This window comes from Homo sapiens, chromosome 4 (genome assembly GCF_000001405.40).
Source record: "Homo sapiens chromosome 4, GRCh38.p14 Primary Assembly".
Lineage (NCBI taxonomy): Eukaryota > Metazoa > Chordata > Mammalia > Primates > Hominidae > Homo > Homo sapiens.
Genome location: NC_000004.12, coordinates 146,428,499 through 146,453,302, shown reverse-complemented (window position 1 = coordinate 146,453,302; position 24,804 = coordinate 146,428,499). Strand labels below are relative to the sequence as shown.

The 24,804-nt window shown below is 34.9% G+C and overlaps 1 protein-coding gene across 14 annotated transcripts in view, besides 1 other annotated feature; it reads left to right on the top strand.

The window, feature by feature from the left end:
- SLC10A7 (solute carrier family 10 member 7) overlaps positions 1 to 24,804 on the top strand; it is a 267,960-nt gene that overhangs the window by 68,638 nt on the left and 174,518 nt on the right. For 8 of the 14 annotated variants that reach the window (NR_133924.2, XR_001741332.3, XR_938780.4 and 5 more), the window contains one exon: positions 10,482 to 10,520. The exons of 4 other annotated variants lie outside the window; for them this stretch is intronic. Coding sequence is in view for 5 of the 10 variants with exons in the window: in NM_001029998.6 (NP_001025169.1) it covers positions 10,482 to 10,520 (39 nt within the window). In the remaining 5 variants the exon portion in view is untranslated. Of the gene's footprint in view, positions 1 to 10,481; positions 11,639 to 24,804 lie in introns of those variants that run through there. 2 more of the 14 variants (NM_001317817.2, NM_032128.5) reach the window with 1 other exon arrangement.
- Positions 2,426 to 2,475: an enhancer, noted in NCBI's record as "active region_21992". NCBI's record gives its function as "activates an Ori minimal core promoter by ATAC-STARR-seq in GM12878 lymphoblastoid cells {active_cell/tissue: GM12878}" and the evidence as "EXISTENCE:reporter gene assay evidence [ECO:0000049][PMID:35858748]".

The window sequence follows — 24,804 nt, the reverse complement described above, 5'->3', positions numbered from 1 at the left end:
ATTTTCTTAAGAGGAGAGGACACCTGATTCAATTTAGCACCCAGAAAACAGTAACTTGAATATATTTTTTTCCTTACCTGAATTGAGATGAATAGTTACAAACAAGGATAGCAACCCCCTATTCACCTCAAGATTTAGAATATTAAATAATTTTTTCCACTGGTGTCAAGAAATGAACCTGTAGAAATAGGCAAGAAATGTAGCTTGCTCCTCATGTCAAACATTCACTCTTAACTTGAAGATTGTATATTTATATATATATATATACACACACACACATTGTATATATCTATAAATCTATATCTGTATATAGTATACATACTTCTGTTAATTCCTGTAATATTTTAAAACAAAGAATTAAAATTAATCTTTCTTTAAATTGGTGAATGCTTTGCAGCAGTATTAAGTCTTCATTTAGCTTTCTTTGTTGAGAGAAAATATTCAGTAATGGTTTAAGTAATATTCAGTAATTTAAGTAATGGTACTTAAAAAATACAATGATATATATAAAAATGGTATCACATTAAAAGTGCCCTCTTAATATTGAGCGTAGTGTATAAATCCGCATTTTGATTGATATCCTGAATATGTTTACTTTTCTGTGGTATGTTGTAGTAATACTTAAATATGACATAGAAATGTAGAATTCAAATTTTTCTTGTAATGAGGGCTCTTCAGTGAAAATAGTGGTAATTAAGTAGTCAATAGTAAAACTAGCAACTAAGTTGCATAAGAGAAAGTCAATCATAATTGGCTTTGAAAGAAGCAATAAATATTTCTTATTTTTTTGACTTTTTATAGCACTTTAGAAAGTGCCTTACAGATAGAATGAAAATGTTTTGTGTTTTCATATTTAATTGAAGATCAAGTATTGGAATTCAGTCTTTGATGTTTTAGTCTTCATGTGTTTTTAAAACTGAATCTATGCTTAGGGAGAAAATAAATATTAAGGCTGTTTCTCCTTCCTGCGAATCAAAGCCTGATGGGATATAAATTCACATAGTTGAAGAACTTTTCTAGGGTAAGGCAATTTAGCTTTGACCTCCAACAATTGTGGCCAATAGTCAGTTTTCTCTTCCTTATTTTCAATGATGTCATATGCAATAGGAACAAGAGATTATACTAAATAAGATTTAATGTGCCTACTCAAGCTCATATTTTAGAGGAAATAGTTTTTTATTTATCTGATCTGCCGGAGTAGTCCTTTATTATTTTTTCCTTGTTTAGGAACATGGTGGTGTCAGGCTTCAAGTACCAGAAAATTAGACTAAAAGTGGCTTTAGCAAGGAGGGACTTATTTTTCTCATATACCAAGATGCCTGGAGGTAGAGGCTGCTGGCGTTTATTCTGCGGCTCAGTGACATTAGAGTGGCTATCTCTCCAGTGCTCTTATGGATGCAAGATAGCTTTTGCTGCTCTCGGCAGGAAGAAGTGTCAGTACCAGAAACTAACCTCCCTCCCTAAGCCCCCACCATCAAGCATATATCACTTTTTATCTCATTGGCCAGAACTTTGCTGCATGGAAATCCCTAGCTTTTCTTTTGTCTTATCTTAAGGTGTGTAACTTCTATCTAAGGTGTGTAACTTCTATACCTAATTTGTTGAGAATTTTTATCATGAAGAGATGTCGAATTTTATGAAATGCATTTTCTGCATCTATTGAGGTAATCATGTGGTTTTTGTCCCTCATTCTATTGATGTGGTGTGCCACATGTATTGATTTGCATGTGTTGAACCATCCTTGCATCCCTAGGATAAATCCCAGTTGATCATGGTGTACTATTGTTTTGATGTGCTGTTGGATTCCATTTGCTAGGATGTTGTTGAGGATTTTTGCATCTGTGTTCATCAGGGATATTAGCCTGTAGTTTTCTTTTTGTGTTGTGTCCTTGTCTGGTTTGGTATCAGGGTAATGCTGACCTCATAGAATGAATTAGGAAGGATTCCTTCCTCTTCAGTTTTTTTTTGGGTAGTTTGAGAAGAATTGGTAATAGTTCTTTAAAAGTGTGGTAGAATTCAGCAGTGAAGCCAGCTGGTCCTGGTTTTTTTTTGTTTTTTTTTTTTTTTTTTTGGTGGGAGACTTCTGATTCAGCCTTGTTACTCGCTGTTGGTCTGTTCGGGTTTTCTATTTTAGCTTCTCCTTTTTTATATGTACTTTTTCTGTCTTGCTTAAAAAACTGCTTTTCTTTCTGAGGGCATAAAGATAGTTTCATATTTTCTTCTAAAAGTGTTAAAGTTTTGCCTTCCACATCTAGATCTTTAATCTGTCTGGTTTTTTTTTTCTTTAGTATATTGTAAAAAATCCAGTTGCTTCCCTTTTCCTCGCTGCTTTTATGATACTCTTGTCATACAGCTTTCTCACATTGTTTAAAATTTTTTATTGTTAACATTTCTTCAGTGGAGGTTGTGTTATCTGGTAATCCACTCTGTTCTGGGTTATTGAAGTGACCCCAAAGAGAAGTTTCACTTTTGCTTCTTTCAAGGACTTAGAAGTTCCACTGCCCCTTCATCTGTTTTGTCATTTCTTTCTTTAAATAAATTGTTAGTTTGAAATTCATGAGTCATGTAGGTAGTGTAAATTCAGTCCTTACACCCACCTTTGATACAGACCTTATACTACTTTCTTAAATTTGTAAGTAGAGTTTTCCAGTTGCTTTTACACAGTGCTGGCAGTCCTTCTAGCCTTCCACTCTGCTTTCTGCAGATGTCTCATTTCCAGTTCTCCACCCTTTGCAGGCCAAAGCCTGTGCTTCTCATTTCTTCATGGGCATGAGTGCAGCATCAACTCATATGCTTTACTACTCTGGCTTTGACTAATTTCTATATGTTTAATGCAATTGTCCCATGGTATCTGTGGGGTATTGGTTCTAGGACTCTCCAGGAACACCAAAATCTACAGATGTTCAAGTCCCTGATATACAATGACATTTATATATATAAATGCACATCTTCCTGTATACTTTGTCTTCTCTAGATTACATAGAATACCTAACATATGATGTAAATGCTGTGTAAGAAGTTGTACACTGGATTGCTTAGGGAATAACAACAAGAAAAAAAGTATGTACACATTCAGTACAGATGCAACCATCTTTTTTCTTCTTTTTTGAATATAGTATTTTTGATCTGTGGTTGGTTGAATCCACAGATGCAGAACCCACAGATACAGAGGGCTAACTACCTGTTTTTTGTTTGTTTGTTTGTTTTAGCTCAGCTATATATTTAAAAGGTAGTGTTGTTATTATAATATTTTTATTGAATGGTGTGAATGTAAGGATTATATACCTGAAATGCCTTCTCCCATATTTCTGTTCCCCATTCCCACCCCTCCTTTGATGACATCTCTGTCAATCTCATGGTTTTCTGGTCACTTTTGATTACAAAAATAGTCATATCTTTGGTAATTAGGATTAATTTCTAGCTATTAAATAACCCAGGGCATTCTAGTTTGAAACTTTAAATTCCCTTCTTTCCCAAGTGAGGCCAAACCTACGTTTTTAAAACATAGGAAGTTATACTTTTAATTAATGAATATATAAACATGATAAGAATTTAAAAATAGGGCCCATGGAGAAGAGGGCATGGTCTGTTTCACTGTTTTTGTTGTTGTTGTTGTGGTGGTGGTGGTGGTGGTGGTTTGTGTTTTTATTTTTTTAAAGCTTCTCACCTTTTCTACTTCCAACCACTTCAGAGGAGAAATGAATGAGAGAGAACAGGATGGGGTCTTAGCTTATCGATACTGTCACACTGTGGCCCTCAATGCCCTCTGTCATAGCAGGGGTCTACACGCTATCTCTTTTTGCTGGACAGGTTAGGGGAGAGGGTTGTTCAGAATACACTTCCAACCCCTGCTCCTCTTGTTCCTTCAGCCTCTTGTTGGTGGAGTCTCTTCTTGGGTGTGGTCTCTCAAACTGAATTAAGTTCAGTGGCATCTTCTTGGCTCATTTGGAATTGGCAGACCCATGCCTCATCACAGAATTTAGATATACTTTGTCCAACTGCTTACTGTCTCTCCTTGCCCTACCATTGTGGTCTGTTCTAGGCAGCCCCTCACCTTTGCTGTTTCTAGTCAGGAAGCAAGTATTTATTTCTGGTTCACTTATATACCCTCCCTATCCCTGTCACCCAGTGGGAAATGCACTGGGTGAGAATGTTCCTAAGAACTCTTACAGGGTGTATCCGATGCTCCTGTGGTGGCCCAGTGTGGAATTTGTCCTCTCACTAAACATCCAGCATGGAACAGAGATGCTATTCTAATTTCTTTGCTGTTTGTTCTAGCACAGTTTCTTCATTTGTAGATATCACCCTCTACCCCAACTTGAGAGGTGTGGTGAACAGAGCAGCTTTCTCCTGTAGAGAAGGAGGAAAACAATTTCATTTTATCAATCTCCTCTGGAATTTCTGGTCTTCACCTATACAGCCTGCATGTGAAGTGGTCCCTGACCCACTTTTGGTGTCTTTTTTATAAATACCAAGGTATGTGTCTGGCATCTTACTTTTGAATGCAGGATTCTTCTCCCAAGTTTGGTATTCTCCTAAGGGTATTCTCCTAGGCTTGAAACATCATTAGAAATTCTGAGATAACCATAAATATCCCGTTTTTACATTTTGGTAAACATTTCTATGTATTTTGACTAAGAATCAGGTACTCAAAAGCACAAGCTAGAAGTTTAATACATTAACTTGCCATAAATTATTCATACTCAATGTAAATAATGGATTTTACCTTTTTTTTATTTAGTAACCTCATAAGGGAAGGAAAAAGAGGGGTGTTGGACCAGCATTATGAAAATTTTTGATATAATGTCATAAGAGAAGACTTGGGTAGGAGTCAGCAGTGTACATATATTTGAAATGCATTTATAAAAGGGATGAGACATATTTATGTAACTCCAGAGCACAGAACATGGTCCAGTGCATGGCAGTTATGAGAAGTTATAGATTTCAGGCTTATGGTAGGCTTAAGGTAGAACATAACGTTTAGAGCCTTTCAGCAATGAAAGAGCTTGCTTTTATCAGAGAATTGTTTTTCCCCATTTTTTTAAGTTTTTTTTAAAATTTTTTTTATTTTTTAATTTTATTATTATTATACTTTAAGTTTTAGGGTACATGTGCACAATGTGCAGGTTTGTTACATATGTATACATGTGCCATGTTAGTGTGCTGCACCCATTAACTCGTCATTTAGCATTAGGTATAACTCATAATGCTATCCCTCACCGCTCCCCCCACCCCACAACAGTCCCTGATGTGTGATGTTCCCCTTCCTGTGTCCATGTGTTCTCATTGTTCAATTCCCACCTATGAGTGAGAACATGCGGTGTTTGGTTTTTTGTCCTTGCGATAGTTTGCTGAGAATGATTAGGTTTTTTTTTTTTTAAGAAATTTACCTTTGTTTTAAATAATTCCAAGTAGTTTATGATGAAATTAATTCATTATTGAACTTGCTCAGTTTTCCAAAATAATTTAATAAAGACATGCTGTATAATATATAATGGAACATTAGTAAAATATCTTATATTGGGTAAAATTGGGTTGATACCAAAAGCAATATATTATCTACAAATGTGTAATATAAAGGAAGTCAATCTAGTCAATATTAAAAAAAATCTCAATATGAACTTTTTTTTTTTTAGCTAGGATTGATCTAATTATTCACCAAATGTGATTACTCCAAGGTATACATTTTGCTAATGGGATTTTATGAGTTAATAATAAAAACATTACTGTGTAGGACATTCAGTTAGCACAAGAGGTATTTGTTCATTCACTCGTTTCTTTCAATGAATTAGACAAATTCTTGTTGTAATGGAGCATTCTAGAGGAGGAATGGGTTTTGAAATATTTTCTAACAAAGGAGATAATAACAAAAGAACTGCTATATTTTAAAATCAAGCTGGGTATGGTGACTCACACCTGTAATCTCAGCAATTTAGGAGGCTGAGATGGGAGGATCGCTTGAGTCCAGGAGTTCAAGACCAGCCTGGGCAACATAGGGAAACCCTGTCTCTACAAAAAAATTAAAAAATTCTAGCTAGGCATGGTGGCTAATTTTTGGTCATTTATGGTTTACAGTCATACTGCTCTGAACTTGCCCAATCTCATCTGATCTCGGAAAACATTATTTATATTAAACATATTTTATATAACTATATTATAATAGGAAGGTTCAGGCATTTTAAGAGAAGTAAAGCAAGATACTGTTTTGAAAACGATGTGAAGGAAATTCTTGTATTGAATGGGGTGGATGGGAGTCTGAAGTCTAGATCTCCTGTTACTGTCATAGGTTGGTTATGGTACCAGATGTCAGATCCAGTCTTCTGTGCCTTGGATTCTGCCAAACACATAAAATAACTCAGTAGGAGATGAAGACTTTGGACATTTCAGGGAATCGTACTTGTGTCAGCAATTCATACTTTTTAATTAATGAATATATACACGTGATAAAAATTTTAAAAGAGTACCAGTGGATTCAAGGGCCTGATTTGTTTCACTATAGATAGATAAATAGATAGATAGATAGATAGATAGATAGATAGATAGATAGATAGATAGATAGATAAACCTTCTCACCCTTTCTACTTCTGGCCACTTCAGAGTCAGGGTGTGAGTAGGAGTAACAAACAAGTGGGTGCTTAGGGTGAGTTTCATTAGATTCCTATCTTAGATGACCAGCGGAGAGAGGCATGTAAGTAGGTCATTTATTTTCATTTTTTTTTTTTTTTTTGAGACAGGGTCTTGCTCCGTCACCCGGGCTGGAATGCAGTGGTACAATCTCGACTCACTGCAACCTCCACCTCCTAGGTTCAAGCAATTCTCCTGCCTCAGCCTCCCAAGTCACTGGGATTACAGGCATCTGCCACCATGCCTGGCTAATTTTTGTATTTTTAGGAGAGACAGGTTTCACCATGTTGGCCAGGCTGGTTTCAAACTCCTGACCTCAAGTGATCTGCCCACCTCGGCCTCCCAAAGTGCTGGGATTACAGGTGTGAGTCACCATGCCCAGCCAGTCATTTCAATACAGTAGGACAAGTCCCATGGCAGAGATAGGCTCAGGATGTTCTGCCAGCAGGTGTGGAGATACTCAGTCCATCTGTAAGTGTAGATATGTGTGTATGCTAAGGTGTGTGTGCGTGTGTTGGGGGAAGGTCATTGAAAACTTCTTGGAAGTGATAGGGCCAGGAGGCAGAGAAATACTGGGTAGAAGAGGGTGGGGTTCCTGGCGAGAGCTCCACCCTCAAGCCTGGACCCACGGCCCAAAGTGAGAACTATTCTTGTTTTCCCACCTGAAATTTTACCTTTTGGACTGCCCCACCCCCTATCCTGTGCCCATGAGAACTGCAAACCCCAGACTCAGGGGACTCCCGTGCACGCGCGTGCGCACGTGCACACACACACACACACACACACAGAAGAGAGAAGAGAGAAGAGAGAAGCGTTTGAACAACCAGAGGAGAAGAGGCTGGACGTCAGAGACTATGGTCAGAGAGGAGTTCGATTAGGGATGGCCAGACTCCCGCGGAAGATTTTCGTCCCATTCCACCCCGTTTCCAGCTCCCTTTCCCTCTGAAAGCCACTTCCACCGCTCAACAAAGTCCTCCACATTAACTACCCTTTGATTTGTTTGTGTGACCTGATTTTTCCTGGACGCCTGACAAGAACTCGGGTACCAAGAGGGCAGAGTGTAAAAGGCTGTCACCCTGACCCTCCGCTGAGCTAGTTAACACCTAGCCATCCACGGACGGCAAATGCTAAAAGAGCAGTGATTGTAACACACGTCTTCTTGGGCTTCGAGGGTCACAGACACCCCCTCCTGGATGGCAGAGCTAACGGAGCATTGTAACACACTTGGACACTGCCGCGGGTCTGCACAAACCCTGCTCCCGCCAGAGAGGTGCGACCGGCCAGTTCCAGTGTTCCTTTGTGCGCGTTCCCACACCCGTTTGCTTGTGTGCTCGCTCCTGTAAGGCATGGAGCACGGCGGCCAAGTAAATGAGCCAACCCCTTCGCGAGTCCCATAAGGGATCAAGGGAACTCTCCCATCTCAGAAGGATGATGACCAAGCTGTGTTATTAAAATTAAATAGAATTACCAAAGTAGAAGAGGGGGAAGGGTATTTCAGGCCAGGGAGCAAGGAGATAAGAAATGGCATGATGAGTTTGGGGAATTGCAAGTAGTTCATTGTTGTCAGAATGTAAAATTCGAGGCAGGGAATGAGATGGATAGAAACATGTTCATGGAAGGCCCTGGACGTCATGCCAAGGAGCTGGGAATTCCTCCCTAAGTCAAGATACATGCATGTCTTTTATATATCAATAAAATACTCTAAATATTTATTATTACTTGTTGAAACTCTGGAAATCATGGTTCTTTCATAGACTGCAACCACAGAATTGAGCCAACTATTACCTTAATTATCGGTTGCTGTTGAGCCCAAGATCCTTGGTTTCAGTGTCTGATTTCACGTGGTCTTCAGGGTACCCAGAACCTTTAATCAATCATTTCACAAAAGATTGACGGAGCTCACTGCACAGGAGGACAGTATAGCTGACTGAGTGAGTTCAAATCCATCACCACTGTTGGCAAACAACTAAGAATGAGTTGGCCTGCAGCATCGTCTTTGGGTACCTAATATACCCGTCACTGTCATTTTATAAGAGGCAGGAATATAGGCCAATTCATATAAAATGTATTTCTTGCGTTTGGGTTAAAGAAGAGAACAAGAGGGAGTAGGAATATGGTGATTTGATCTTATGAGTAGTAGTTGTTATATACTCATATAGTTATTTATGAGTATTTATGAGTTGTTTATGAGTATGATATTATTTGTCATATATAGTTATTTTACTTTGACTTCTGAGTCTCTTTTCCTCGAATGATTCTATGTTTCCTCAAATGCTAGACAAGACCGCTAGTTATTGAGTAAAATGTTAGTGAAAGGGACTTGAAAGAAATGAATTCAGAAGAGACAGGCTCAAAGGGGAAGACCTCCTTCCTTTACTAAAAGGAAGTAATTCTGTTTTAAGCACAAAATAGGATCTAAATATAAAAATTGCTTGTGGGAAAGGTACATTTTTTGTAGGAAGGAGGACCAGTGTTCCCTGTTGGTGTCACCACAACTAATTTATTTATAACCTTTTACTTATTTTTCCCCATACATAAAACTTTTTCCTGGAATCATCCATAATGGAATTCCAGGAAGATGTGTTAAATATATTGCTATAGTTTACAATTGTCATCTGTAATGTTTTATTTAGCTGATTTTCTTTTTTTCACTGCTCCCCATACAACCCAGAACACCATATGCCATTGTCCCTGTCAGGAAGCAAAGGTTTCCCTGGTCTGTGCCTGTGCCTATGTTTATGCCACAGAGGAGCTGTGGTCCGGTGCCATCTTTTATTGATAGGGCCAGCAAAGGAGAAATCTAATGAAATTATCAAAGCTTTGAATTAATTATGAACTGGAATAGGAGAGCTAAGCTCTCTGGAGCCGAGGATCTCATTACCCATTCACTCTCATTGCATCCTCTTCTGGAGCAGAAGGCATTTTCAGCTACAGCTCTTAGCCTGGCTTTGGACTTTATTCAAACTTACTAAACTGACATCCTCTTTTTACTACAGTGTGGCTGCTAATGTCCACAATGATTAATTTAATTCTGCTCTGGGTATGCAGGAGATGTAAATAGGTTCTCTCTACCCCTTTTATTATTTTTTCTTTCTTGTTTTCTTTTTATCAAATTGGATGTTATACAAGTTTTTTCCTTTTTGGGTAATGTGAGAAGCTTGCAGGACTCTGGTATAGCTTCATTGAATATAGTGATTCAATTAAAATTAAGAGCTATATTACGTCTGCTATGTATTCCATGGATATTTAGGTAAGCAGAGAGTCAAATATTTTTTCTTTGAATTTTGAACACCAAATTGGAGCTTTTCTTGCTTTTCTTTACCTTAGAATTAATGGTACAGCAATAACTTTCCTGGTCTTAACAGCATTGTTCATATTTCTAATGTGTGTTGTATAGAAACAGATCTTACCTTGTGATTGTAGCTCATAAGACTTGTGCCACTGACAGCAATTAATGTTTGTCTTACAATTCTGTTTTTCCTTCTTCCAATAATATACATTTTTAAACAAATAAATCAATCTCTGATTGTTTTAAATTTAGTAGGAAAATCAATAGCAACATGGTCTCAATTTAGTATTGGCAATGATTCTTTTGGTACTGTCATATAGGTTCAAGGCATGACAAGCGTTTTCTGCCTGCTTTTGAGACCCATTATTTATGAATTCCTAAGCTGTAGCTCATCTGTCTTAGTAAACTACAGGCCACTGGCAATTTTTGTAAGCAGTGACTAACTTTGCTTTATAGAGTCAATGTTTTAAGGTTTTGAATAGTGGGGGAGGGGAGAATGATAATCTTTGGCTTTATTATTCTTATTTACTTTCAATGAGTTTTTTTCCCCTATTTATTTTCTTCATAGGCAGCTGCAATATTTAATTCAGCCTTTGGAAGTTTTTTGGTAAGTAAACATAGTTTAACTTGTCTATTACAACTTTTGCTGTGATATTGTGTATATGAAAGATTTAGTGAAAGCTGGATTTGTTTTACTCTTTGGTTAAGTATAAAAATTGTTGAATCTTTTCATGTGCCAGTATCCATACCCTGAAGAAAAGTAGTTAATGAATAAAGCAAATGTTCTCTTACAATATATTTTGGAGGTTTGGGTTTTAAAATTCCATTTAATGAATTCAAGGAATCAATTAAAACACTATGTGTCTCCTTATAGAGGTTATGTCAATATATTGATCATTTAATGAGGTCTTTTAGATTATTATTATTTTGTATCATGGGACTGAGGATTTTGAAAAGGAAACATGACCCAGCTGGTCAGAAAGGGAATGCTAATTTACTTGTTGACATGCCATTTATTTTGTACATTTCACTGTCAAAGAAGCTACTGGCTTGGATGCTTCTGAGAAATCTATGTGAAAAAAAATTTGAAAGGAAGATATGACTAATGAGTAATTTGCAAGTAAATGTTGTATCTATATATATATATATATAAAGATTCAAAAGTAGTTCAGCTTTCATAAGTAGAACCAATATAAGGACGTTGTTTTAGCATTTTTAATCATTATTTTTAAATAAATGATGTAACAGAGGCTTGATTTGTGTTATGAAAGATTGAGAAACTAAATTTTCTGTTGATTTAATTTTTTTGTGCCTTAAAACTTTGTTAAATTCCTGAAGTTAATTATCATATTGTATTTTTTGGGGCATAACTCATTAGCAGATATGTAGTGCAGTGATTTACAAATAATTGAGAGTAAAATCAGTGATGTATAAACTAGTTCATGAGTCTAGGTAAAATATCAATTACCTCTGTTTAAAATGCTCTGTTAATTATTATTGTATGTATTTAAATGTAGTTAAAGCTTTTAAACATGTTGTTACATAGTGTTAATTCTACATAGTGCTACACAGCTTTTAGTGTCACATAGCCTTACAGAGTTTATAATGATGTAGCATCTGCAAAATATATGCATAGCTTATATCCTATTTTTATAGAGCCAGTAATGGTTTTTGTGATGCTGTATTACTTCTGGGTTTTAGACAATAAAGTCTGTTTAACAAAAATAATCTCTCGGATTGCTTAGTTTAGACTCAGTAATATTTTAAGTCATTATTTCATGAGTCCAAGTATTATTCTATACGTTGTCACAATTGTTTAATAGAATAATATCTGTAAAACATGAACTTTCTGGAAGCCAATTTTTGTACATGATTTGGCACCATACACATCCACTATCAAAACATCTTCTTAAGTTGGGTCTCTTATTCTTTCGGATGTCTAGACTTTGAGAAAATAAAATTGACACAATTGTCTGAGTGACTAAAACAAAATATACGATTCCTTTGTTAGAGAACAAGCTTATTAAATATAGTTTGAGACATGCACTGACTATATGAATGTATCATATTTTTTCTACCAGTCCCACTTGTTTGGTAAGGTCTAGTGAAGTACAACTTGTTCTTGTGGTTCTTTGGGATTTGTATTGTGCTCTTTCACTCCTAAGAAGCTGTGTATTCTCACTTCTTAGTCTTCCTCTTTTTCTTTTCTTCACTTTTTTTTTCTTACCCTAATTCAGTTAATTGATCAAAAGTATTTATTGATTTCCTGCTACACAGAGGTAGTTTTCTAGTGTCAGTGAAGAATGCAGAGAAATACAAGGTGGGTCCCACTAGGTTGTGGAGATGACATGTAGAAAAAGAAATGCAATGTAAAAGTTAACAAGCCGTATGAAAGATGTTACTAGAGATATATGATTGTCAAATAAATGGCACAGACAATATGCACTCTAAATTCAAAGGTCTGACAGAAGTGATTGCTCTGAGCTGGGCCTTGAGGTATGGGTAGGACTTAACTGGTAAAGGAGAGAGGAGAGGAAATGGCATGAGCAATGGCAGACAGGCAGAAGCGTTGTTTTACTTTTTTTATTCCCCTTCCTTTCCTTGCTTTTTCTTACATAAAGTTGAAAATTACCAGAGAGAGTTTGAGAGTGAAAATTATGATTAGGTATGTTTTGCTCCAGTGTTATAAGAGAAATAATTCTATATCTTTTTTTCCTCTCTTCACCATAGTTACAACAACCTAGGATTATGAAACATGTGTAAACTGTATCAGTTAGAATTAGGTTTGGCTTAAGAGAAAAAAATTGATAGTGATTTATACAAGATTAAGATTTATTTCTCTATTATATAACATTTGGAGGGAGCTGTCCAAGTATGGTATAGTGGCTTCATGGTCTCATCATGGGCCAAGACTCCTATCTCTCTCCTCCACCATCTGCAGCATGCAGTTTTCTTCCTCAAGGCTGCCTCATGGTCCAAGATAGTTGCTGGAGCCCCAGCCAGAACGTCTGGATAGCAAGGTAAAGTAGTGGGAATAGAAAAAAGAGCTCCCTACTCCAGCCTGGGTGAAAGAGCGAGACTCTGTCTCAAAAAAAAAAAGAAAAGAAAAGAAAAAAGACCTCCCTAAAACCTGAGTCTTCTTTCTTTGAACAGCATTCCTGGAATTCTAACACAATACCAGCACTCCTTATTGCAGAACTCAGTCACATGATCACTCCTAGCCACTGAAGTTGGGAAATATGGCAATTTACTGCGAGCTAAAAATTAGATTTCTGTTACTAAGAAAGAAGAGGAAAATAGATATCGAGACATCTAGTACATTCTACATATGAGCAATATACAACAATTATTAAAGGTTTGAAGAAAGAGATTCATCTCAGTTAAATGACATGAGAAGGCTTCAGGGAGAAATTGGTGCTTGAGTTGGGATTAGGAAGAAGATTTATTTTAGAGGAGTGAAATTCCAAATTGTAAACTTTATATTTTTATTTTATTATTCTTAAAGGATGGTACTTGTTACAGCTATTTGTGAATTTTCTCTATAAATGGAAAATATCCACCTGTTCTTAAAATTTAGGATTATGGGTAGTAGTATGGTTTCTGGAGCTAGACTGGGTTTGAATTCTTACTTGACTGACTACTAGCCTAATTATATAAGCTTCCCTGTATATAAAATGAGGTAATGATAGCGCCTAAACTGTAGACTTGTGGGATAATCTATATAAAATGTGTATATGATGTGATAAGAAATAACTTTGAGCTAAACTTTAGATCTAGGTTTTTATTGAAGCTTTGTCATGAATGTTTGTGGGTGTGACTATGGATATCCATGAAATAAGGAAATTGGTTATCTCTGACTAAGCTTGGCAAGATCTAAAATACCCTGATCCAATGATTATTCTCTGATTATGAGTGACCATTCCTGTGGTATAAATATAATACAATCTGAAAAGGGTATTTATTTCAGATTACCTTAAAACTTTGAATGAAAGGCTTTTATTAAAAGAATTTTTGAAGAAAGAACTCTGAGAGCATTTTTGTTGATTTTCAGGCATCTGGGTATAAATAAAATACTGTACATATTTATAGCTACTTTAATAATGTCCCAGGTCTAATTTAAACAGTGTTTTTAGGAACTAATTATTATAGAACGCTGTTTTTGTTGTTGTTGATGTTATTGTTTTTAATGTATCTAGGCTGGTAATAACTAATGATAGGTGAATTCAATTTACATAAATTTGAGACCAAGAAAATATTTTAAAATCATGCCATGGAGGATTGCTTTAAGTTAAGCAGTTAATGTCATTATCTCCTCCTCTCATTTAAATTGTTCAGTTTATAATAATTGTGGAGCATAGTAAGTGATTTGAGATTTCTCTCTTAATGAGATTTTAATAAAATTTGATAGTCGAGCACCCTGAATAACTAAAATGCTATTAAAATTTATGTATATACGTGTATATATTTCGACTTCAAATTCAGGCAACTCACATGTTGCTCCTCATCAAAAGGTTTCAGTTTTTAAAAAATAGATACTGACATCTTTTGGGAAAATTCTAATTGAAATTTTTTTTCTTTAATTTCAAAAGATTCAATTGTGTTGAAAACAAATTCGCCAAACTAAATTTAGATCATTTGATTTGTTAGAACTTAGCATTTTTGATTTGGAGGCTGAATTCAGTGTTTCCATGTCTCTAAGAATTACAGGTTAAAGTTTAAAAGGAACATTTAGAACTTTGCTATTTTTAGACTCCTCAGCCTATTTTATTATTTTTGGTAACTCCTAGTCTTAAAGGGAAATGCTAATGAGTGACAAGCTGATCATGCCAAACTGGGTTTTTAATAATGATGTTATAAACATTAGAACACTTCATGGCAACATAGATGTACTAATAAGAATTTCAGAAACAGCATCAAAGAGTCAGAAAGTTAAATCATCCTTGTAAATTCAAAACATCTAGTCTAAAAAAGATCTGTACGAGTCACTGATTACTTTCTAAATCTCTTCATTTAAAGTGTCAAGAAATGAGTTTCTTTCACATAATTTTTCTCTTTTAAAATACTCATTGCTGGAACTAGCAGAAGCTATTCTAAGATTAACAATTTTCTTTTCATGCCAGATCAAAGATTAAAAGGAACTCCTTGCCTTGGGCTGAAAAACTAGCCAGTTTATATTTTTCTTCCCTTACCCAATTGTTCTGTCTTCTCTCTGCTTTGGCTGGTTCTCGGTTACTACCCTGCTTTGTAGAAAAATTTGAATAGTTAACTGATTGTTATTATAGCTGCTGAAAGAAAAGAAATCCCAAACACAAGTGCCATGTTTTAATAATAATAACTTGTGACATGTTTATCACCTTCTTGTAATTTTTCCTTTCCTGTACAATGATACGTGCCTGTTTTATTGTTTTTGGTGACTCCTGATCTTAAAAGGAAACCCTAGTGAATGACAAAGATGATCATGCCAAACTGAGTTTCCAACTATGCTATAAAACATTAGAGAAATTCCTGGTAACATAAATGTAAGAATTTCTGAAATATTTAGAATGGTTAAAGAGGAAACACCATTATCTTTGTTACTCATTGATTGCTGTGGGACAATGCTTTTTAAAAACTAGATCAAGAATCTCAAATGTTAAACAAAGAGGCTTAAAGGTGGTACTAGATAAGATTCAATTGTTAATTTGGTTTGCTTTCACCTAAGTCTAGGATGTATTTAGTTTATGGTTTATGGGGTCTCTTATTTTGTACAGTATTGAAGACTATGCTGAATTTGTGTGTGTGTGCATGTGCTTAATTTTCTTAAAATCTTAATCAACCCAAATTATTCACTTGGGATCTTAGTTTTACCTCAAAAGTTCATGGCTTGTTTATAAAAAAGTTTTTATTTTCATTAAACTTAAATGCCAGAACAAACAAATGACTTAATATTTAAGCAGTTTCAGTACCATCTTATAGATGCTGTTTCAAGTTCATCTTTTAGTGGGAAGAACTGGATAAAACCAAGATTTTAAATGGCCCATCCTGGGTATTAAAATTAATAACTGTGTTCAGATGAATGGAAGTTGGTTTCCACCTTTGCACAATGCAACCCATCATCGTGCTATGCATTTCATTTGATCATCACCTGTTTGAGCAAGTGAACATCATAAAAGCTGGATTGCTGAGAACAGACTACTTCTGTTTTAAAAATACCATTGGTTCAATTAGCAGGTAGCACAACATAGGAAAATAGGATAGAAAATCAACACACATATACTCAGAGTCCATTAGATTCAAGGCATTTTTTGAGATACTGAAGCAAATACACAAAGCATAAATGTGGGGAAGAAATAATAAAATATTTAAGAAAGAGAGAAGACAGGAAGGAGGACTGTCTTCAATGCAGTGCTTTCCAGCATTCAGACATCATTATAGCTTTTGCCATGTCAGCATACTGTTTGTTAAATAAGACTCACATTTTCAATTTAAATTTATTTCAAGCCAAAACTTTACATCAACACTATAAATAAAGAACTATCTTGTCGTGAATAGAAGGTAACTGAAATTAAGTCAATGGAAAAAAAAGCTACTATTAATTTGTAGCTAACCTCTGCTGCGTATTCAAGGCTCTGAATCTGATGCCTGCCCTTCTTTTAATAAAAGGTGAAATTAGCACCAGCACCAAACAAAGCACTTTCTCCTTCTGCAATCCAAAGGATTGAAAGAGAGTTGAAAAGACAGTAAGTTGCATTACTAATTCTCTGTGCACATGTCCTTTGAGTCATCTTGTTTTCATTTATACTTTGGGAAACACTGTTCTCTGAGGTCGCTTCTCAATCACGCCATCAAAGAAGTGAATTAAAATTATTTGGAGAAGTCAAATGAAGAAACCCCTAGAATCAGGGACTCTGGCAACCTGAACATGTTTGTGTTTCTTTCACTAGATCATTTTTTACATGACACCTCTCTAGAAAAACAGTGATGTGTGTGCCAAAGTGACAAACATATTTGCAGAGTTAAAAATATGGTATAATGCTCCAATCAAGAAGACCCACTGATAGCTCTATGTGGGTTTGTTTTTAAAACAAACTCTTATCTGAAGTACAATCATTGTAAATAAAAAATGGTCTTTGTTACTTAATAAAAATGTATAGGATCTGTACCTATTCCATTTTAGCAGCATAATGTTCTATGCTGTCTGGCAGGACTTGTGTAGCAAGTAAATGCATTAGTCACAGTGATCATTTTTCTTGCAAATTTGTGACACAGATTTAATTATAGGAATGACCAGCAACTTACAAATCTAATTTTGGTGGAGGCTGAAGCAACTTTTTTTTTTATTTTAATAATGATGGATTTTTTTTAAAGCAATGATTTCATTACCATTTAAAGAAATCTACTGGTGTAGAACTAGCCAATTGACTGGAGTTATTTTATTACCCTTTAACAAATGCCATGTACTTTCATTTTAATTTTTATTAATTTTTGAAACATCATCAGTCCCAAACTGGGAAAGTATTTGCTTCTATACTCATTTGAGTAAAAATAAATAAATATAAATTATTCTGGTTCAGAATGTTTGTAAAGGACCTCCTAAGAAAGATGATCCTAGCAGTTGTTTAAAATAAAAATTAAATTTCCTTAATTTGAATCCAGCCTACTACAGAACTGCTTAGTTTATGGTCTTTAGTAGGAGATGCTTATTAACTACTAATTGATGATAATGTGGCAAATAGTTCTTATTTCTTTGTTTCTTTTTCCTTCAAACTAAAAATTTTGTATGGTTAATCTATTTGTTGAGCTAATATTTTGGGGTTCTGGCATAATAGTGTGGTGAGCCAAACGATTAAGATTCCTGCCTTCATCTACATTACAGATTCTTAAAGTGAGAATATCAAGTCCTAATTGTGTGTGTATATGGTGGGGAGAGACTGTTGGAGTAAATAATGTTAAATATTTTCTTAGAACTTTTTTAAAGTTTTGTTCCATTATTAATATACCTCATTGACTGAGACCCCACTACCATTCCAAAATAAATCTGGCCATGTGGAGAGAAGCAGGAGGAAAATAGAGGATGCATAAACTGTATAAACTTGGTTCTATCAGCCAAAGAGAATCTTCCCTTTAATTGTTGGTCCCTGTGATGAAAGCAGTGTTAGACCTCCAAACTTCATCATGGACTTAGGATTTCAAGTAAACAATTTAGCATTTCTAAAAAACAATAGTCTGTATTTTTGGAAATGGCAGATTTAGTTTGAAATAAAAAAATCATTTTTTAAGCCTAGATTTACTGGATGTTGCTGTTTGATTTTAACTTTTAAAATGAAACATTTGTGGACTTCCTACTGTATGCTCAGTTCTGGGCCAGCTTCTAGAGCTGAAAAAATAATTAAAAAAAAAATGATTCTTGCCCTCAATTTGCTTAAAATTCCTGGATTTAAATGCTGTTTTTCCTAGTGTGATTCCACAGACATCCTAATTCTGAATCGCCTCCAGGTAACTGCAACATACAGTTTGAGAAACACTTATTTTACTATAAAACTTCAAGTAGGTGGGCGTGGTGGCTCATCCCTATAATCTCAGGACTTTGGGAGGCCGAGGCTAGTGGATCACGAGGTCAGGAGTTCGAGACCAGCCTGACCAACATGGTGAAACCCTGTCTCTACTAAAAATACAAAAATTAGCCAGGCATGGTGGCACATGCCTGTAATCCCAGCTACTCAGGAGACTGAGGCAGGAGAATCCCTTGGACCCAGGAGGTGGAGGTTGCAGTGAGCAGAGATCGTGCCACTGCACTCCAGCCTGGGCGACAGAGCGAGACTCCATCTCAGAACAAAAACAAAAAATAAAAACAACTTCACGTAATGCAGTAGGTTATCATCTCAATTATTGCTTTTTAAAACTGCTACTTTTTGTTACAACTCCAAAGAAAACTGGATTTTTATCATAAGGTTTGTATCTACCAATTTAGATGTTTTGAAAGTGCAATTTATCAGATACCAGATTCAATTTTTAAATATACCAAAAGCTGACTTAGAAAGATACTTTACCACGTATAATTTACTTTGTGGGGACAATGTGTTAAAAAATAACTTTCAAAAAGCTGCTGTAATTTTAATATGTTTATTATAGAACTTATGAAAAATATAGATAGAATCACCTAGCTATAACGAATCAGCATTTTGGTCTATGTCCTGTGTGTTACGTAGATGTAGTTAAAAAACTGATATTACGTTGTATAGACAATCTTATTTTCTGCTTTTTCCCTTTATGTATGTGAGTATTTTCTCATATTCTTATTTCTACTCTGATAACTTGATTTTGTTTTATATAATGTAGAATATAATCTATAATTTTTTTGGATACAGTATTTATTCTTTCGCTATTATTTTTAAAAAACTGCCACAACATTTTTGTACATAAATATTTGCAGTTCCCCCTTTTCATTATCTTTTAAGGATAATGTAAATGGGTAAAATGCTGCATACTTTAAAATATTCTTGATATTGCTAAACTATCCCCTGGAAATGTTGAACCAATTTATCATCTTTATTTTTTTGAGACAGGGTTTGGCTCTGTCACCCAGGATGAAGTTCAGTGGCATGATCATAGCTCACTGCAGCCTGAACTCCTGGGCACAAGAGATCCTCCCACCTCAACTGGGACTAGAGGCATGCACCACCTTGCCTGGCTAATTTTTTTATTTTTATAGAGATGGGATCTCGCTATGTTGCCCAGGCTGGTGTTGAACTCCTGAGCTCAAGCGATCCTCCCACCTCAGCCTTGAAAAGTGCTGGGATTGTAGGCATGAACCTCCACAACCAGCCCTCAATTTATCATCTTACAAGAGTATATAGAAATATTTATTTCCCTCTGTCCTCATCAATTCTGGGTATTGTTTTTTTCTAAAAAAGCTTTAGCAAACTGATATTTTATCTTAATTATAATTTTTTGGCTGAGAAGTTGATCTTGTATCTGTTTATTGATCATTTCAAATTATTCTATTATAAATTATCTGTTCATATCTTTTGCTTATGTTTCTTATTGAGATGGTTACTTTGGTTTCAAAGAGCCAGAGAATATGTACCGGGCATGGTAGCATGTGCCTGTAATCCCAGCTACTCGGGAGGCTGAGGCAGGAGAATCACTTGAACCCAGGAGGCAGAGGTTGCAGTGAGCTGAGATCACGCCACTGCACTCCAGCCTGGGCGACAGAGCGAGACTCCGTCTCAAAAAAAAAAAAAAAAGCTAGAGAATATGAATGTTATATATCTTGCAAAAATTTTTCTCTGTCTTTAGCCTTCTAATTTTTGTTTTGTGTGTATATGGGTGAGGGGGGTTGATTTTTTATTGACAAATTCAGATTTTTTTTTGAGACAGAGTCTTGCTCTGTCACCCACGCTGGAGTGCAGTGGCGTGATCTCGGCTCACTGCAAGCTCCGCCTCCCGAGTTCACGCTATTCTCCTGCCTCAGCCTCCCGAGTAGCTGGGACTACAGGCGCGTACCACCACGCCCGGCTAATTTTTTGTATTTTACTAGAAATGCGGTTTCACCATGTTGGCCAGGATGGTCTTGATCTCCTGACCTCGTGATCTGCCCACCTTGGCCTCCCAAAGTTCTGGGATTACAGGCATGAGCCACCGCGGCCGGTTTATTGAGGTATAATTTCTATACAGAAAAATCTATGCATTTCAGAGGTATAGTCCTGTCAGTTTTGACAAATGTATGCAGTCACATAGCAACCATCTCAATCAAGATAATATTCCCATCACCTGGAAAGTTTCTTCTTGCCCTTTGGAGTCAATTTCCTCCCTTATCCTCAGTCTCTGGCAGCCACTGATTTTTTTTCCTTTCTCTATACTTTTGCCTTTTTCTAGAAAGTCATCTAAATGGAATCACACGGTATATGCTTTTTGAGTACGGTGTCTATCACTTAGAATACACTTTTGTGATTCATCTATGTTGTATATATCAGTAGTTAATTTCTTTTTATTGCTAAGTAGTAATAAATTTTTAATAAATTTACCAGTTGATGAACTGGTTGTTTCCTGGATGATAATTATAAATAAAGTTGCTATAAATATTTCTGTACAGGTTCTTGTATAGATATATGTTTTTATTTCTCTTGGGAAAATATTTATGCTGAGTCATATAGTGAGTATATTTTAACATTATAAGAAACCACCAAACTCTTTCCCAAAGTGATTGTACCATTTTACATTCCTAGCAGGATTGTATAAGTAGTCCAGTTACTCCACAACCTTGCCATCCCTTGACATTCGCAATATTTTTTATTTTAGCCATTCTAATAGGTGTGTAGCGGTATGTCATCAAAACTTTAATTTGTATTTCTCTAGCGTCTAATGATGTTGGACATTTTTTATGTGCTTATTTGCCATCCGTATATCTTTGGTGGCCTGTGTGTTCAAATCTCTTGCCCATCTTATTTATTAGGTTGTTTTCTTATAATTAGGTGCAAGTTTTTAAGTATGTTTTGGACACCAGTCATTTATCAGACATATATTATGTAAGTGATTTTTGTTCCAGTCTGTAGCTTATCTTTTCATTTTCTTAACAGTAATTTTCAAATAACAGAAGTTCAAAATTTTTGATAAATCTAGTTTGTCTTTTTTTTTCTTTTATGACTCAGGCTTTTTGTATCCTATATAAGAAATCCTTGTTTGTCACAAATATTTTTCTCCTATGTTTTCTTCTATAAGTTTTAGTTTTTGTTTTTACATTTAGTCTTGTGACCCATTTTGAATTAATGTTTGTGTATAGTTTAGTGTATTGGTTGGTGTTCATTACTTTTCGTGTGGTTCTAGAGTTGTAAGGTTTATGTGTCTGTCACATTTGTCCATTTTTTCCTTTATGGATTTTTTCATTGCCTTTATACGTATGAAGCTTTTTCCTATCACAATGTCAGGTAAAAATTCATGTGTATTTTCTTTTAGTTTTATAATCAAGATGAATATTTAATATTGTGTATGTTGAAAAGCAAAGCCCATCATATGGGGGTTTATAAAAAGAAATAATAGATTGAAAATGCTTCACCTGATTATCGTATCACTTGTTAAAGAAGTCAATTTCTGTTTGTTGCTTTCGCCACTGTGTTTTTTTGCCCTGTAAATCCAGCCTCATAGTGTTATTCTCACATCTACATATTGATATATATGCCTGTCCCTGAAAATAATTGGATCAGTATTCATGACTGTTAAAAATTGCTTTTCTATCTTAGGATATCACACATGACATTAACGCAATTACTTAAGATAAAATTGTTTATTCAAAATGTGAAATGGGGATGGACATAAAAGAATAAGGGAAAATTATAGAAACTTCATTTTTATATTAATTTTATTTACAAATGTTCACACAAATTAATAGTAAAATATTCTTATTTGGAGGATTATGAACCAAGGTGAATAACTTTCTTAGAGTAATTTAAGATAATGGAGGACTTTATAAAAATAAAATTCATAATCTTAAGAGCCTTGATAAACTTGATTTTAACTTTTGGTAATTGAACGAGCTGCACTGATCAGGGGAAAAAAATTCTACTAATATAAACTTGGTATTTTGGAAATTAGAAAGTCAAAGCACCACAAATCTTCTAGACTATGAGTAACTAGAGTAACTAGTGTTATCTAGAGTAACATTGATTCATATTCTATGTGTCCGGGGATGGTTATACTCTGAGCTTATAGCTTTCTTTTTTGCTAGAACCCTACACTTGTTTACTTTTCCTGAGTAGCTTTTTTTGGTGATATTTTTAATAAGTGGAATAATTAAAATGTTCACCGTGTTTATAGTTTTACCTTATAACAGTAGTTGGTGTACAGTTCAAGATTTGTATTTTGGTTTTTTTATTATTCAGCCAGTTCTTTTGTAAGCAGTTATTTTCTGCAGTGTTCCTAGGTTTTCACTTGAAAGTTTAAGTTAATATTTTTATCCATTGATTTTGGAGGGATATGTTTATTAACATTATTGTGCTTTTGGTAATTTCCAAGAGCCAGGGCAATGAATCCTATCTTCTTCATTGTCATCCACACAATGTTGTAAGATAAACTATTATCACATATAACTTTTATGTGTCACTCCTATGCCCTAATGTCTATAGTGGCTCTTAATTACCCACTATCTAATTGGCCATTCAGGGATCCTCCGAGTGTGGCCCTATTGTCTCTCTCTCTCCCCGCCCATCCAGTGTCTTTCATTCCCATGTTAACTGTTGATCCACCCTTCACCCTCTCCTGTTTGTTAAATCCAGTTTAACTATTTTTTTTTCTTTTATGGCTCAGGCATTTTGTATCCTATCTAAGAAATCCTTGTTTGTCACAAAGATTTTTCCCCTATGTTTTCTCCTATAAGTTTTAATTTTTGTTTTTACATTTAGTCCTGTGATCCGTTTTGAATGATTTTTTTTGTATAGTTCAGTGTATTAGTTGGGGTTTGTTACTTTGCATATGGTTATAGAATTTTAAAATTTTTATGTATGTCACGTTTGTCCATTTTTTCCTTTATGGATTTTTTTTCATTGCCTTTATACTTATAAAGCATCCTCTAACACTTGGACCTTTTTCTGCTCCCACCTCTTTGCTTGCACTGTTCCCATCCATTCTATTATCCTAGCTGTCCTTCAAAACCTATCTCAAAAGCAATTTCTCCAGCTTTCCTTTTATGGTTATTTAGCTTTTGGAGTGAGTTTCCATCTAGATTGTAATGGGTTACTATAGATTGTAACTGGTTAGTGTAGTTAATTTGAAATTCTGATCTTCTCTCCCATCTCTGGCACTTCCTATTTTTGTTAGCCTGCTATTTTTCTTTCTATAAAATAATGTCTTCCAACATAGTATATAATTTGTCATTTATTACATTAATTGACTGTCTTTCCCTATTCAAATGAAAGCTCCATGAAGGCAGGTGTTTGTTTTCCTTTGGTTGTTTCACTACTCTATCTATCTTCAATATTTATAGTACTTGGCACAAAGTAAGCTTTCAAAAAATATTAGATGAATAGACAGAAATCACCCAATGAATGCTATTTTAATCTCTCTTCATTTATCTGATTGTAAAATATCTTGTATATCATATGCACTTAAAATGTACGCTAATTATCATAATTGTATGTTGAATTCTTTTGACAAAAATCCCATCTTTTTGTCATCTGTTTTGACCATAATTGGTCATCTGTCTACCAAATTTTTCTTTACCACATTAAAATGATTTTAAATTCCAAGGTTTTAAATCTCAATAAAACTTGCTGTAGCCATAAGAAATTTATATTGCCTTATATTCACAGTGTTGATTTGGAATGGAAGTGGAAATTCATCCCCACATCTAAGTTTGATATTTAGTAATTTATAAGATTTTTTTTCTACTAAAGAAGAAAATCCTGTGAAGTAGATTAGGGCAGATTATCCCTGTATAATAGTTTACCAAACCCATATGCTATTTTCATTGAAATAATGATTTTAAATATCAGGAAGTTTTACATGGAAAATGGCTACAAGTGTGATTACTACAAATATTTAAATAGCTAGAGATGTGTAAATAAAAGGATGTAATAAGTGATTTCTATTATATAGCATTGTAGAGAATGATTTCACTGTTGGTATTAAAGGAAAGTATTTTTTTAAATTAAAGTTTATTTTTTATCTACTTGTGAAATACATACTTTAATCAAATTGACAAGTGAAAGTTAAATTTCTAGACAGTGCATAAAAAGAAACTGTACAGTATCCTAAAGAAGAAGTAAAAATATAAGTATGAAAAAGAACCAATTCAATGATGTATAAAGACTAGATCAAATCCATGTCTGAGAGGCATTAGAAGTCCTTAGAAAATAAAAAAAAAAAAAGAGCCAAGGTGAGAATGACAAACCAGATAACTTGAACTTGCAATATCATAT